The sequence below is a fragment of the Homo sapiens genome, chromosome 7, assembly GCF_000001405.40.
Source record: "Homo sapiens chromosome 7, GRCh38.p14 Primary Assembly".
NCBI classification, from domain to species: domain Eukaryota; kingdom Metazoa; phylum Chordata; class Mammalia; order Primates; family Hominidae; genus Homo; species Homo sapiens.
Window position 1 is genome coordinate 71,402,796 of NC_000007.14, and position 17,089 is coordinate 71,419,884.

The 17,089-nt window shown below is 45.4% G+C and overlaps 1 protein-coding gene across 4 annotated transcripts in view, besides 1 other annotated feature; it reads left to right on the top strand.

Annotated features, from left to right (window-relative positions):
• Positions 1 to 17,089, top strand: part of GALNT17 (polypeptide N-acetylgalactosaminyltransferase 17) — a 581,456-nt gene that overhangs the window by 270,652 nt on the left and 293,715 nt on the right. For all 4 annotated transcript variants that reach the window (NM_022479.3, XM_011516467.4, XM_017012521.3 and 1 more), the window contains exon 4: positions 13,094 to 13,268. In NM_022479.3, the coding sequence (NP_071924.1) occupies positions 13,094 to 13,268 (175 nt within the window). The remainder of the gene's footprint in view (positions 1 to 13,093; positions 13,269 to 17,089) is intronic.
• Positions 44 to 236: a silencer, noted in NCBI's record as "fragment chr7:70867825-70868017 (GRCh37/hg19 assembly coordinates)". NCBI's record gives its function as "represses an EF-1alpha promoter that drives an FKBP-Casp9 reporter gene in an ReSE screen in phorbol 12-myristate 13-acetate-treated (for megakaryocytic differentiation) K562 erythroleukemia cells {active_cell/tissue: K562(+PMA)}" and the evidence as "EXISTENCE:reporter gene assay evidence [ECO:0000049][PMID:32094911]".

Here is a 17,089-nt window from a genome sequence, read left to right on the forward strand (position 1 = left end):
TGGGAGAAGTCTTGTGTTTCCAAGAGATAACATTCTTCCTGTGTCGCTGAGGCTCTGAGTGAAATAGCCGAGAGACAACTTGTTATCACACAGCTCCATGCTTGGCCAGGCTCTCTTTATTTGAACATCACCTGCCTTCCCCCCTGCCTGTAAAGAGCCTTCCTAATCAGTAAGAATACTTGTTTTTGCCCCCAACCAGATCATAGCAATGTGACAGCATTTGCTATGTGGGTCTGTAATCCTAACTAGGTTGTGCATTTACATTTCTCTTTGTGTTTTTTTAGGCCCCAGGGAGGAAAGAATGAGAGTGTGTATCTTTACACAAGCAATAGTGTGTGAAAACCCCAGCTAAAGCTTCAGCCACTAACTGGCTTTTAAAAACAAGAAGAACAACAACAAAACCCTTTTTAGTTCAAACTAATTATAGGTTCACAGAAAGTTGCAAAGATGAACAGGAAATTCCATGTAGCCTTCGCTCAGTTTCTCCCAGTGGTAACATCTTGCAAAACTCTAGGATACTGTCACAACTAAGAAATTGGCTTTGGTACATTGGCTTTTTAGCCCAGATAATTGAGAAGTGTGGGAAGGTCAGGTGGTTTGGTATTAGCAGAGCTGATGTTCAGCTGGAATGTGCTACAGTGCCATTCCAGTCCACATCTGCTCTGATGTTATATAGCTCGATAGTCTCCGCTAGCTAGAAGAAACATGTTAGGTTCTGCAGCCCTTTTGGATGCTAATAAGAGCTGCTATTGATAGAACACTCGTATGATGCATTAGTAACTTAACGTGGACATTTCCTGTAAGCAGGCATGAGCATTTCGTTTGCGCATAGGATTCACACTGCCTTTGACCTTGGAAACTTCAGGGTCCTGAATACGGAGCACCCCAGAATGCTAGAGAAGGATGAACTGGCCGGATGCCTCACCTCAGTTATTCCACTCCCGGCTGCCAAACGCGTTTAAAGAAAACTCGAGGAAGAAGTGACCAAGCACCAGCGTGTAACCCTGTTCTCCCCAGGGCTTTACATTTCTTGTGTTCTGTTTTGCTCTCTCTTTAATGACTGTGACTTTGGCTATTTCAAGGAAGAGATTCGCCAGCTTCTGAGCATTTGGAATCAATATCACCGTAAATAAGAACATAATGAAAGAAAAACACAGCCCAGCCTGTAGACAAATTTGATTGCTGAAATTCACGTGTTATTATTAGAATCAGCTGCAAATGCCAGACTTTCAAATGCCTTTGATGGGGTAAGGTAGGGGAATGCTCTTTTAAATTGGGGAGACAACTTGGAGCTCTCACCTGGATAGCCTATAGCTTATGCGTACTATGATGTTTCCTTGTAGGTTTGGGCTACTCGTATTTATTTTCTAAAAGGTAAAATGTAAATGGAAGAAGCAGTAGAGATGAATTTCTCAACAAAGGAATTGGAAGCTGAGATGGCTTTCCTTTACAAAGTGCCCCTCATGAATGCACAACTCAGTGTGATATATTTGGTTTAACACTTTGGTATTTTGCACCTCACATCTCTTTGCTTTTCTTTTCGTCTTTTGCTTTCTTTTGTCCTTTTTGTCCTTGCTTTGATCTCACTATGGAATCGCCCTCAAAATGCTTTCATACACAGCAAAAGCTTCCCTCTTTAATCTCTCTCATTCTTCCTGAAGTTTCTCACTCTTGCCTCATTTTTGCTCCAGCCCATAGTCAGCAAGTGCATTATTTAAGTCTGCAAAGCTGAGAGATGCTCAGAGAATAAAATATGCAATGCAGCCACCTCCTGGGTTATTTCATCTTGCAGTTTTAGATGCTTGGTTCCTCACCATGGCTATTCTTCAAGCCCAGGATTTCAGAGACAGATGGGCCCATGCCATAGTGGCAAGGCTGGGGTGGGGTGTGTGTGTATCACCATATATGTGGCTCCTGTATCCCTGAGGCTTCTTCAGAGCTTCATTGTATTGTTTAGAAGAGTTGGAGGCCCAAAAGATTCCCTGGATGCCCACTCTTTTGAAACCTCTTAATCAGCCCTTAGGCCTCTTCTCTGCGGAGCACTGACCATAGTCAGCAGAAGGCAGCCTAGAAAAAGGAGGCGCCTGCCTCAAGTCCAGAGCCTGCTGCTCCCATCCTGCAGCCTGGCCAACTTTCCACTCATGGTTACAGCCCTAATCCTTTATCTTCACTCTCTGAAACTGGTGCTGATGGCTGCAGATTCAGAAGAAAATGGGATCATCATACTGGTGCTTTGCACTCACATTTGGTCCTCATGCAACCCTGTGCAGTGGAATAATGTTGTACACACTGATAATTAGTCTGTAATCAGAAGTGTGGGTGCTTCCAAGCTACTTGAGGGAGCCAGCTCTCAGGACAAGCCCAGGCCAGGCCACAGCAGCTTTGTATTAGCAGACAAATGACTTGAGATTTCACAACATCACATTCACAGGAATCAGAGGTAACAATGGTGATGCATGTAGGCATGCCACTTACAAATGGTGTGACCTAGGGAGAGTTGCTGGCCCTCTGTCTTAGTCCATTTGGGGACTGCTATAAGAAGTACCTCAGGTTGGGCATTGTGGCTCATGCTTATAATCCCAGCACTTTGGGAGGCTGAGGTGGGAAGATCACTTGAGGCCGGGAGTTTGAGACCAGCCTGAGCAACATAACAAGACCCCATGTCTACAAAAAATAATAATAATAAAATATTAGCCAGGCATAGTGGTGCATGCCTGCAGTCCCAGAAATAATACCGTAACTACTTTGTATCCATAAAAATAAAAAATAACAAAGTTAAACAAAAATGCCTTAGACTGGGTAATTTATAAACAGTGAAATGTATTGCTCACAATTCAGGGGGCTGGGAAGTCCAAAGTCAGTGTCTGGTGAGGGCCTAGTCCTCATAGATGTCTCTCTATGTGTTTCTATGTCTTGTAAGTGGTGAACCAGCTCCCTGGGGCCTCTTTTGTAAGGACACTCATCCCATTCATGAGGGTAGAGTCCTCCTGACCTAATCAGCTCCCAAACACTTGCCCTCTTAATACCACCCCATTGAGGCATTGATTGGCATTTAACATGAATTTTGAGGGAACACAGACATTCAGCACATAGCACACGCTCTGTGCTTCCGTTTTCTCATCTGTAAAATGGGGTCGATCGTGCCTTTACCTCACAGAGTCTTTAAGAGGTATGAAGGAATTGTTGTAGGCCAACAGCATGTGGCTCTTAATAAGGACCCAGTAAGTATGAAGACAAATGTTGTGGAATGTTACGAGTTTCCAAGACAGCCCATTCACTGGTTAAATTACCAAAGGAGATCTAATTTGGCTGACTAGTGTTCTGGAGTGTTTCCTGATTAGCTGACATTTTTAGTGAGCTTGGTTAGCAATTTGGGGATATAAATATTTCATTATAGACACAGACAAGCATAGTATTTGAAATGTTTGAAAAATAGTGATTGTCAGCAGAAAAGGAACTCTGGCATTGGTGGAATCTGCCTCCCCAGTTGGTATTCTCACTGAGAAACTAACAAAGCTTCCGCATTGGGCCCCTTACTTGCACGGGTGCCCTTCGAGGTCATCTGATGGCCCCTTGTTGTGTGTTTACATGTCATGCATTTTTGGAGAACTTACAAAAGTAAGCTTTTAAAATGTTTCTCAAAGAGAATGCCTCAAATTGTGTAAATTTCAGGTCCCACAAAACCCAGGTTCATTTCTGGGATTTGCTATCTCCATTGGACAGATAAGAAACCCCCTAGGTTGCATGAGCAGAATATGCAACCGAGTTTCTCCCCGCGCCACCATCTTTTCGTTCATTTTTAAAGATAATATTTTAAAACTTTGTCTAATAATATTTTTAAAATATTTTAAAATAGTCTTTGTAGGGCTGCTTTTATACATTTAGCTGATTGGTTATTTCAGGCATAAAGGTATTCTCAGGCGCACCTGTATTTCCAGGTGGTTTTTTTTTTTTTGAGATCGCATCTTACTCTGTCACCCAGGCTGGAGTGCAGTGGTGCAATCACCGCTCACTGCAACCTCTACCTCAAGCTGGGCTCCCACTTCAGCTTCCCAAGTAGCTGATACCCAAGTGTTTTCAGTCTGTGTTTTATGTTCTTTCTAGGGCATCAAAGCTAATTCTTACATATATAAAATATTGAAATCTCTCTGAAAAAAAGAAAAAAAGAGATGATGCAGAAATGTCAAGTGTCCTGACTAATGTCTGTGCCAAACTCTGCGTTGAAGACCATTTTTTCACTGTGATCTCTGTCATAAATCCCTAAGCACAGAGAACTGGAAGTTTCCATTGGGGTGGAGAGAAAGGCCGGCATCTGGGAGGGCCCAGGGTATGGTCACCATGCAGGGGCTGGATTCTCTCCACATCCAGTCTTGAAGAGCTCAGGAACTCAAGTCCCATCAGGATGAGGAGTCTTATCTAAGTGTCTCACCAAATGCTTCCAGACAGAGGTAGACTTGGAAACCCATGGAACAAGCTAGGAGCAGAGATGTGCCCAGGGAGAAGGTGGCCTAGGAGGAACCCAGGGGAGGGGCAGGCCAGCTGACCAGACTGGGCTTTAGGAGCAAGCCTGCAGTCCATCAATTACCAGCATGGGGGTTGGAAGAACCCCCTGGCCACAGAATATGAATCAGACCTTCAGCAAGGTCAAGGGTTTTAAATTCACACACACGGTCCAGGCATGGTGGCTCATTCGTGTAATCCCAGCACTTTGGGAGGCTAAGGCAGGAGCATCACTTGAGCCCAGAGTTCAAGACCAGCCTCAGCAACATGGTAAAACCCTGTCTCTTCAAAAAATAAATAAAATTAGCCGGACATGGTGGTGCATCCTTGTAGTCCCAGCTACTCAGGAAGCTGAGGCAGGAGGATCACTTGAGCCCAGGAGTTGGAAGCTGCAGTGAGCTATGATCCGGCCACTGCTTTCCAGCCTGGGTAACAGAATGAGACCCTCTCTCAAAACAAAACAAAATTACACACAACATAAAATCACCTCTTCTGCACCGTCAAAATTAACAGACATAAAAGACCACATATTTTACGACTCCATTTTCATGAACCATGTGTATTAGGCAAATTTATAGGGGCAGAAAGCATGTTAGTGGTCACCAGGGGTTGGGAAAGGGGAGATGGGGAGCAGCTGCTCAATGGGTATGGGGTTTATGTTTGGGGTGATGAAAAAGTTCTAGATAGTGGTGATAGTTGCACAACATTGCGAATGTACTCAATGCCAGTGAATTGTATATTGTAAAATGGTCAAAACATTTTAAACATGGTAAAAACAATGAAAAAAGTGAACCAGTGCTTTTGAGATGTTTGGGGTTTGCGTGAGAACGACCTGGGGGTGCTGGCCAGTTCCACTAAGGCCCACTGAATTAGGGATACCGAGAAAGGAGCCTCGGAACCTGCATTTTCATAAGGTCCCCAGTGATTCTCACTCTGGGAATACTGGCAGGCATTTTCATTCTATTTTGTTTCTTAATTGGAACGTGCCATATGTGCTATGTTCTCGTCCCCAGCTGTCACAACCCATGCATTCACAGTGAGCAGCATGCCCAAACCTCAGCAGCTGCTGGTGGGGAGAGGTGTTGGTGATAAGCGTGGCAGTGGTGGCAATGGGAGTTGATGGTGTCAGAAGGAGTGTTGATAGAATTGTGGCAGTAGTAGCAGTGGTAGCAGGAACAGGGAATGAAAGCAGAAGGCAGGACCATATGGGATCCTTGTCCAGGGACTGACCTAATTGTGAGATTGCCCCACGCAGAGGTGGCCAGCCATCAGGATCCCAGTATTGGAGCCAAGCTTGGTGGCTCACATCCATAATTCCAGAGCTTTGGGAGGCCAAAGTGGGGAGCGGGGGAGGGATTGCTTGACGCCAGGAGTTTGAAACCAGCCCGGGTAACATAGCGAGACCTCATCTATACAAAATAAAATAAATTAGTTGGGCATGGTGGTGTGTGCAGGTAGTTCCAGGTACTCAGGAGGCTGAGGCAGGAGGATCGCTTGAGCTCAGGAGGTCGAGGCTGTAGTGAGCCGTGATTGCACCACTTCACTCCAGCCTGGGCAACAAGGCCAGACCCTGTCTCTGTCTCTGTCTCTGTATATGTGTGTGTGTGTGTATGTATGTATGTATGTATGTATTTATATGTATTTTATATATATATACTGTATATGTGTACATGTGTATATATACATATATATACACACATACATATATATGCACATACACAAACACACACACACACACACACACACACACACACACATTTAAATATATCTATATTTTAAAAGATTCCAGTTTTGGAAATGGCATGCCAAACCCTCACCATGTAGGCCAAAGTCACTTCCAAGGGGTTCAGTTTTTTAGATGAGGCAGGACAAGTAGGTCGTAGGCAGTGGGGAAAGTGGAGATGGACAGGGCAACACTGGGATTCTGGAATGTCAGCTCAGTTGGAGTAAGCTCTGGCCCACACTCAGGGTCTAATTCATCCCAGATGGAGTTAGGCAGGGGGGTAAATGCTAAGCCAGAGCCACCCAATATGCACTTAGCAGACCAGTTGATGCAGCAGCTCCCCATTTGAAGCTTGTAAGAAATACAAGTTCTTGGGCCACCTCAGACTTACTGGTGATTCGGATGCAGGTTAAAGGTAGAGGAACACTCACTCATCTAAGCTTAGACAGATTCTCCTGAATCTCCATACTCTGAAGGGCAATTGAAATATTCAGTAAGTCTCATCATCAAGGCTTAACAACTGTGTGAGGGTTGAGAGGTCAGGTTGCCCACCATTGTGGATGTGCAGACTTGGCCAAGTCCTGGACTGGGTGGCCACTTCCCAAGTACACATAAAAATCCCAAGCACTGACACTTTTGCATTGGTTCTGGAAGCAGGTGGAGCTGAGTCTGTTTTAGGACCACCAGGTTCGTATGTCCACTGTGCAGTAACAGATCAATTATGCTGAGACAGCAGGATTTGCAACAGAGAAAGAGTTTCATGAGTATAGGGTAGCCAAGTGAGGAGACAGGAAGAGATCCTCAAATCCACCTCCCCAACGATTTCTGGGCTGGGGCTTTGAAGGGGATCATGGAAGGTGAGAGGCTGGAGAATCAAGGTCATTCATTGATCAGGGTAAAGGGGATGAAATTATCAAGATGTGGAAACTGCGTTCTTTGGTGAGTCAGCTTCTTGTGGGGTCCTTCAGACCAGCTGATGTCAGCAGTTTCATTGGTATGCAGGACATGAAAGAATATCTCAAAGGGAAAACTTAATATTTTATAATGTTCAAGTTGTTATCTATAGAGCAGTTAAAGGGGACTGTAATCTTGTAACAGGGTCTATTGTCCTAGTCATTCTAGGACAATAGGCACTAAGAAACTATGATGAAACAGGTCAGAGACTAATGATTAATGCTGAATGTGCTGCACGCTTGGTTTATTTTAATTTTCCCCTCACTTCTTTCCTGATTTTTTTTTTTTTTTGAGACAGAGTCTCACTCTATTGCCCAGGCTATAGTGCAGTGGCATGATCTTGGCTCACTGCAACCTCCACCTCCCAGGTTCAAGGGATTCTCCCACCTCAGGCTCCTGAATAGCTGAGATTACAGGCGTGTGCCACAAAGCCAGGCTAATTTTTATATTTTTAGTAGAGACGGGGTTTCACCACGTTGGCCAGGCTGGTCTTGAACTCCTGACCTCAGGTGATCCACCCACCTTGGCCTCCCAAAGTGCTGGGATTATAGGTGTGAGCCATCACACCCAGCCTCCTGATTAATTTTATAAAGTGTATAGGGGCAATTTCAAGTCTACTAGGTCAATACTTGCTCCTGAGCAGGGCTCTGAGCCCAGGGATGGTACCGATAGTTTATTCTGTCATATCACTGAAAGTGCGGGATTGAGACAGAATTCTGTAATGTTCTTTGCTTTAGTTCTTACCGTTTTGTAGCTTTCTTTTTGCCAATTTATGCTCCATGAGCCTGGATGACATGTGTTTGTTTTATTGTTAAGGAGCAGGTATGCATACCTCCCTCTCCAGTCCTTCCTGATCACAGGCAGTGTTCGCTTCTCCCCCTCAACCTCCTCAAATGCTGTTTATCAAAATCTTAAAAAACACAATGGTTCCCAAATGGCACTTGGCCAATTTTGTATTGGATTTTATAACATTTATTTTTGTCGAAATGAGTTTCTGCATTTATTTTTGCAGAAATGAGTTTCTGTTTTCTTCTCTGAGTTTTTTGTGAGGAAAAAAGAAAGTAAGATGTTTTTCTTAGTGTTCTTATAATGTCCTAGAATGGTTTCATCTGTTAAGGATGATAAAGGATCTTAGGTGAAGGGGTGACTTTCTTTTTTTTTCTTTTTTGAGAGAGTCTCGCTCTGTCACCCAGACTGGAGTGCAGTGGCACAATCTCAGCTCACTGCAACCCCTGCCCCCTGGGTTCAAGCGATTCTTCCACCCCAGCCTCTCGAGTAGCTGGGGTTACAGGCATGTGCCACCACGCCTGGCTAATTTTTGTATTTTTAGTAGAGATAAGGTCACACCATGTGGCTAGGCTGGTCTCGAACTCCTGAGCTCAAGTGATCTGCTTGTCTAAGCCTCCCAAAGGGCTGGGATTATAGGAATGAGCCACCGTGCCTGGCCAAGGGGGTGACTTTCTAACCAGTGTCAGGTTGGGGATTTGTGTGCTTCCATGGGAGCCTGGGGGCCTTGTTTTACTTGGCTAATTTATAGACTCATTCACTTTAAGGTGAATTTGGGCTCTTGCACCCCACCTCTTCTTCGGTTTCTCTCCGTTTTCAAATCTCAACACCCTAATGCTCTTAGGCTGTCTCAGATGTGTTCCACCAGAGCCAGGCTTCCTGGAAGTCCCTCTTGAGATGTCCCACTCATCCAGTTCTCCTTGTATTGACCCTGCCCCTGCAGGAGACAGCTGCATCTGCAGGGATTTCTTTTTTCTCACTGGTACTATCAGGGGCCTTCTGTTTGTCTTGATCAACGGACCATTCTCAGCTTGCATTTTCTCTAATGCATTTGACTTTCCTGACCCTGGAGGTTGAGCAGCTTTTGGAGGACAGGGACTCTGAACCTTCTCACCCACAGAGGCTCCTTTAAATATTTATAAAATGAATGCACATATCCTTCTTCCAGAAACTCTGCCAAACACTTCACAGGATAATGCTTCGGAACTGGTGTCATAGGAGCATTATCCTGTAAAGTGCTGGACTCTGTTTCAACACCTGCAGATGATGCTCTTGGGCTCTCAGGTTTGAGAACTTCATTTCCTCCTTGGAGTCCCGTCTGTACCGCCTTGAGTATGGCTTCTCCAGCCCTTCTTCCTTCTACATTCTCTATCCAGCCCTGTACAAAATAAAAGACATTAGCTGGGCATGGTGGTGCACGCCTTTAGTTCCAGCTGCTCGGGAGGCTGAGGCAGGAGGATTGCTTGAGCCCGGGAGGTCGAGGCTGCAGTGAGCCATGATTGCTCACTAGCCCTCCTTCCTGCCTCCTAAATACATGTGTTCCACAACGTGTGGTTCTAAGTCTTCTTCCCTGCATTTCCTGGAACTGTCACCTTCTCTCCTAGGCCATCATCTCCCTTTTTTTTTTTTTGAGACGGAGTCTCGCTCTGTTGCTGAGGCTTGAGAGCAGTGGAGCAATCTCGGCTCACTGCAACTTCCGCCCCACCAGGATCATGCGATTCTCCTGCCTCAGCCCCGCTGAGAGGCTGGGATTACATATGCCCGCCACCACACCCGGCTAGTTTTTGTATTTTTAATAGAGACGGGGTTTCTCCATGTTAGGACATCATCTCTTATCACTCAGTGCCTGACACCTCTGCCCTGTTTTCTCACCTCCAGACCATTGTCGTGGTTCAGCTGCCTACCCCAGAATGTCCTCTGGCCCCCTCAACCTGTCCTCAGAGAAACTCATCAACTTGTTCTTCTCTTCTCTTCTTTTTCTCTTTTTAAATCAATCTTATCTGGCTAAGTGTGGTGGCTCACGCCTGTAATCCTAGCACTTTAAGAGGCTGAGGTAGGGGGATCACTTGAGGCCAAGAGTTCGAGACCAGCAGGGCCAACATAGCAAAATTCTGTCTCCACTAAAAATACAAAAATGAGCCGGGCATGGTGGCAGGCACCTGTAGTCCCAGCTACTTGGGAGGCTGAGGCAGGAGAACTGTTTGAACCCAGGAAGTGGAGGTTGCAGTGAGCTGAGGTCACGCCACTGTACTCCAGCCTGGGTGGCTGAGCAAGCTTCCATCTGAAAAGGAAAATAAAATAAAAATAAAATAAATCAATGGCATCTTCCCAGTTTCCTAGACTGAAACTTTGATGCTCATGATACTGTCATCTAAGTAGATCCAATTTTTCACTTAGGTGTTTTTTGGTGTGGTATTTTAGAATAGTGAGAGCTCACGTCCAGATCTGCTGCATAACTTAAACAACTTTTTCCGTTAATGCTCCCAGCCAAAACAGTTTCTCTGTCTGTGACTCCTCACAGCACTCTTCCTCCGTGACCATTTTTTTTGGGCGAGTGGGGGCCATTAGCCTCATTTACCTTATAATATTGAATATTATAATTTGTTTTTATTTTATTTTTTTTTTAGGCAGAGTTTCGCCCTTGTTTCCCAGGCTGGAGTGCAGTGGTGCGATCTCGCCTCACTGCAACCTCCGCCTCCCAGGTTCAAGCAATTCTCCTGCCTCGGCCTCCCGAGTAGCTGGGATTACAGGTACCCGCCACCATGCCCAGCTATTATTTTTTGTATTTTTTTTTTAGAAGAGACAGGGTTTCTCCATGGTGGCCAGGCTGGTCTCAAACTCCTGATCTCAGGTGATGCACCTGCCTTGGCCTCCCAAAGTGCGCCTTCCTATAATTTTTAAACGTATCTCATCTCCTTAACTCGATTGTAAGCATCTTGAGGGAGCACTTGTGTCTGAATTGTCTTTGAGCACAGGCCAGAGCACAACTCAGTATCTTATAAAGTCCAGAATCACACTGCAGGGACTGGGAAGGAAGCCTGCTCAGTGTCACTTGTTCTTAAACCCTGATCATTGGAGGTGGCATCTACCTTGATGTTTCCATACACTGTTGTTTGGAACAGTGTATCCCTGTACATTGTAAGAGTGAGAATGGTGTCTACTGCTATACAGTAGGCCCTAGACTTTATAAATCATTTTGGTGGCCAGGCACAGTGGCTCATGCCTGTAATCCCAGCACTTTGGGAGGCTGAGGTGGGTGGATCACCTGAGGCCAGGAGTTCGAGACCAGCCTGACCAACATGGCGAAACCCCATCTCTACTAAAAATACAAAATTAGCCGGCTGTGGTGACACATGCCTGTAGTACCAGCTACTCGGGAGGCTGAGGCAGGAGAATCACATGAACCCAGGAGGTGGAGGTTGCAGTGAGCTGAGATCGCGCCACTGCATTTCAGCCTGGGCAACGAAAGAGAAACTCCGTCTCAAAACGTAAAAATAAATAAAAATAAAAATGATATTGGCTAGTTAGAAAGACAATCTGTTGTTCATAGGAAGTTATGTAATTGATCAACATTAATAATTATGATAAACCAATTATTATTAGATTTACCATTTATTGAATGCATATTGAGTGCTTTCTATATAGCTTTTCCTTTAGTTGTAGCAGCCATAAGGCTAGTACCAAATGATTAGGCCTTATCCTTTTACTCCTTTAATACCTCCCAAAGCTCTTTAGATGTGAGAAGGCCAGTGGTAATGACCCACACTTTCTTTTGCCAACCTTGCCAATCCCTACCCATATATCTTCCCTGAAGTCTCGCAACTTCTTAACAAATGAGGAACTCATTTGATACCCGGATGTGGTGAGTGATGTAGCCAGGAGCTGACATCCTGTTCCTGGGAAGAGCCACGACTAAGTTGCAGGTCACGTGGCAGCTAAGAGGTAACAGTGCCTCCAGAACTCCTGGCATGGTGCCCAGCGCTCAGCATTCAGAATATTCTCCCTGAACTTACAGAGATTCCTGCAGTCACAAGCCAACCCTGGTCAGCAGGCGGGATTCCCCTTGTAGCATTCCATGACCTGTGGCCTTTAGTGACATGTCCCTGAGTCCCCCAGCACCCATGCAGGACATGTACCTGGAGTGCAAGTATCTAAGAATCCCCTCCCTGTTAGCCCCTCCTTTTCCTCCCTATACCTGGTGATTTTTATGCACACAAAGTATCACTTTTTTTTTTTAAATGCCTTTAGTTTTATTTATTCTTAAAATTAGACACCAGGTCTTTCTCTGTTGCCCAGAATGGAGTGCAGTAGTGTAACTATAGCTCACTGCAGCCTCCTGAGTTCAAGTGATTCTTCTGCTTTGGCCTCCCGAGTAGCCGGAAGTACAGGTGCACAACACTGCACTCAGCCAAGTATCAGTCTTTATGTCTATAGAGTTAGATTCAGTTGAGTTGTGTTTCAGCTCTCCCGTTAGCCCATATGTGACCTTGGAACAGGTTAGCCTCCCTAAGATTATGTCTTCATTTGCAAAATAGAATTAATTTAGTTAATTAATGAAATTAATCTAGCAACCTCCTAGGGTTTCTGCAAGGATAAAATTAGCTCATAGAAATGAAGCACTTTGCCACCTGCTTGTTGCAGAAGGGAGGGTATTCAATCCCTGGTAGCATTAGTTCTGCCTCCAAGGTAGCATTTCTACTACTGAGCAAAGACTTACATTGCATCCCAAGGCACGTACTGTAAGAACGAGTCTGTGTGCAGATGGAAAAGCCCATATAGAATTTGATAAACCGGACAAGGATTCTGGCCAAGTTTGGAGGAAGGGCCACTAAGAAAAGGAATCTTGAAGGACGTCTGCCGGCTCATAGCAGCCGGGATATAAAAGCCAGGCCTGGTTCCCATCCCGCTGTACGGATTGCAAACTGTCAGAAGATAGCTGTCCTGGGTGAATGCATCAGAGATGTCTTCTGACTCCTAGACTGATGAGATTTTCTTTTCTGCCAGAATTACTAACATGCGATTTTTTTTGAGATCTTTGAACTCCCTGAAGATCTGTGGGCATTGCAGTGGGTTAGATGCAAATTTGAAATGACATGTTTATAGACCTTCTTGCATTTTTGTCATTTGCAGAGGAGCTGAAGGTCCCCCTAGAGGAGTATGTCCACAAACGCTACCCCGGGCTGGTGAAGGTGGTAAGAAATCAGAAGAGGGAAGGCCTGATCCGCGCTCGCATTGAGGGCTGGAAGGTGGCTACCGGGCAGGTCACTGGCTTCTTTGATGCCCACGTGGAATTCACCGCTGGCTGGTAGGTCATGAGCTGAAACTCAGGGGTGCTCAAGACCTGCATTGTGGTTGAGAGGGGCTGGAATCTGGGAGGTGGGACATTTCACCTGTTACCTGTAGTGGCACTGGGAGACTAGAGAGAGACTCGTCAAAGAAGAAAGTGAGACCATTGTCTGGGATAAAGCTAGGGAGCAGGGAGAAATTTGTCTGCCGTCTGTTCAGTTCACCATCATTGGCATCATCGTCATCATCATCGTCATCAAAATCCCCAGTGAAAATGTTTTATCAGGCTGGGCATGGTGGCTTGCGCCTGTAATCCCTACACTTTAGGAGCCCAAGGTGGGTGGATCATTTGAGGTCAGGAGTTTGAGACCAGCCTGGGCAACATGGTGAGACCCTGTCTCTACTAAAAATACAGAAATTAACCTGGCATGGTGGAGCACGCCTGTAGTCTCGGCTACTTGGGAGGCTGAGGCAGGAGAATCGCTTGAACTTGGGATGCCAAGGTTGCAGTGAGCCTAGATCGCGCCACTGCACTCCAGCCTGGGTGACAGAGAGAGACTCCATCTCAAAAAAAAAAGAAAAAAAGAAAACGGTGTATCAATTAGATAAAACTCAACAGAATCCTTGCAAATGGTACAAGACAGTCATATTTTTCTTGTTCTCTTTTCCTTCTTTGCTGCTCTGTTTGCAGGGAAGGATGGTTGTCTGTCATTGTGAGAAAAGAGATATAGTTATAATTCTAACTACTCAGGTAAAGCTCCCCAGAATGTATGGGATTATCTTTCACATCATTCGGAGGAAGGTGAAGCGCATTTTCTGCAGATAGGCCCTGATATTTTTCCAGGTGAAAAGAACAGAATGTGAGAAATTGGTTGAGTGTACGGGGAGTAGAAGATTTTGGATGCACAAAGAGTGAGGCCACAAAAATGCCAGAATCATGTTAAAATTGGAATAGGACTTTCCAGTTTTAAAGCATGGTCAGATAATTGTTGCTAAGTAACCAATGATCCATCAAGTTAGAGGTTAAATAACCTGTACCCTGGGTTGCTTAATTAGTAAGAAGCAGAGTCTTGTATTTCACAAATATGTTTATTTACACTCATTGAGGCCTTCTTGAGTAAGTGTTGTTCACTGTACTAGATTTGAAGAACCAATATCCCATCACTAATTAACATTAAAATGTCTGTTCTTCTTCATTTGCAACAACCTCTAGAATCCTTTTAATGGCAGGATAAAAAGACAATGTTTATGCATGTGACCACGTAAGAAACCCAGGGCCACTGATAACACTGACCCCTTCAAGTGCATGCTGGGGTCTATTGCCATCTCGGCCGCCAATTTTCCCTCCCAGTTTTTTGCTGTCATCAAACCCTGGTGACACCCAGCTGCATGTCTTCAGCCCTCATCTCTCTCCTGAGCTCCAGAGCTGTTTATCTCTAGTAATAATCATTCCCAAAGTGTGGCGCCCCAGACCCACAGCATCCGCAGAATCTGAGAACTTGTCGGAAATGCAAATTCCTGGGCTCCACTCAGTCCCCTGAAATCAGAAGCCGTGCAGGTGAGATCCAGCGATCTGTTGTAATCAGCCCTCCAGAGGACTCTGATGCATGCTACAGTTTGAGAAGCACTGAGCCATAATGGAAGCCTTCTGAAAAAGATTCAGGCGAATGTTCCGTTACAGCCTCAGGCCTGGCATACCTTGTCTTTTCCTTGGCATCATTGCCTCCTCGTTTCTTTCCTTTCAAAACTGAAAGGACATGGCCCCGACACATGTCCCTTTCCCTTGATTTTCCCCTTGCCATCATGTTACTCATCCTGTCAACCTCCACCTCCAGCCAGTTTTGTCTGCCATTTCTCCTGTCTCCCTCTTTCTCTCTATCTTGACCACCACTCTCCTAGCTTGGTTCTTTCTTGACATTCACCTAAACCAATGCGGTCACTGCTGGAACTCATTCTTTTGGCAGATACTTGCTAGATGCCTACCATATCCCTGGTGCTGTTCTAGGTTTGGAGTTTGGCACTGAGTGATTTCTCAGGACTTTCAGTGGTAAGGCTGGAAGAGTACTGCACAAACTGGGACAGTTGGACACTAAGCTGGGGTTCAAAATCCAGCAGGTTTGGTATCTGCCCTCAAGTCTACAGTCTAATTCTAGTCTACCTAATCAAATCCACCTATCATCTAATTCTCACTGATGTCTGTGACTTTAGTCTTTGCCATTCAGACGCATTTTCCACACTTCTACCCGGGTGGCATAGAACCCTCTCTGAATTAAAACCCCTTGGCAGTTCTTCATTACAAGGTAGACAGTGTGTCTCAACTTTTACCAGGTTCTACTGCAATAAAAGTCTCCAGTCACAATGACTTACAACAATACATGTTTCTCTCTTGTCTGCATGGCACGTCAGCTGCGGTTGTCTGGCTGTGGCTGTGCTTGATTTCTCCTCTGTGTTCTGAGAGTCAAGGAATCCTCCTGTCTAGGACATTCCATCTTTGTGGCTCAGGGAAAAGAACAGTGGCTGAACTTCGAAATGGCTGTTTCTGCTCTGATGTGACACCGTCATTTTGCTCACATCCCATTGGCAAACCAATTCACATGTCCAAGTTAAATGGGAATTGGAGACTGGGGGAAGGAGTGTGCTTCTCTAAGGAAGCATTGCAGGCCACCTGGTAATAGGCAGGACATCCCCAGGGAGGAGGGAGCAAATTATTGGGAATCGTCATACATTGTCTAGTAGACAGTAAGATCAAAATTCTCAGCCGCAGAAATATCAGTGGGACCAGGCGTGGTGGCTTACACCTCTCAGCACTTTGGGAGGCTGAGGCGGGCGGATCACCTGAGGTCAGGAGTTCGAGACCAGCCTAGCCAACATGGCGAAACCCTGTCTCTACTAAAAATACAAATACAGGCGCCTGTAATCCCAGCTACTCAGGAGGCTGAGGCAGGAGAATCGCTTGAACCTGGGAGGCGGAAGTTGCAGTGAGCTGAGATCATGCCATTGCACTATAGCCTGAGAGACGAGTGAAACTCCGTCTCAAAAAGAAAAAAAAAGAAATATCATTGGAACCAAGGTCTTCTGCCTCCATACTCAGTGACTCTTTCGCTGCTGATAGATGGGCTGAACTGAATGCTTCTAATGCATGATCTGGACTTGCATGGGGTTCATCATGGTTCATCAAAGAGGTAGTGGAGCTTCAGAATTAAGACATGAACCAGACCAGCTAGGTTAGAAACCTCCTTCTACCACCACTTGGCTGTATAACCTGGGGCAAGCTACTTAACCTCCCTGGTCCTCAGTATCCTCATTTATATAATGCTGATCATTGTATCTACCTCATACGATTATCTTGGGGGTTGCATTAGTCAACACATGTGAAATATTTCGAATGGCCCCCAGCACTAGTAAGTGCTTAATAAAGATCAGCTATCATTAGCTCATAAGGAAAAATAATTCGTGTTCAGAGTTGATTAGCAAAGGCAGCTGCGCAGTCATTGTGACTTGAATAAGGTGGGGAAAATGATCTAAGAGTTGAGAGGAAGAACTCCCACGGGAGAGGTGGTACTTGGTCTTGGGACCAGGTGGTGAGAGAGGTGTGGGAGGTGGTACTTGGTCTTGGGACCAGGTGGTGAGTGAGGTAGGAGAGATGGTACTTGGTCTAAGCCTCCTTAGATGGCTGTGCTCTCTGCCAGTAGCAAAGGGCATCCCCAGGGGAGAATTTCATGAGTGGAGGCTTGGCCAGGGCCATGGTCCTAAGCCTGCCTGGAAGCCTTGGAAAATTAGTGCCATTTGGCTTCAGCTTATATGGTGTGTGCAGAAGTATTGGAAGCAGGTAATGGCCCA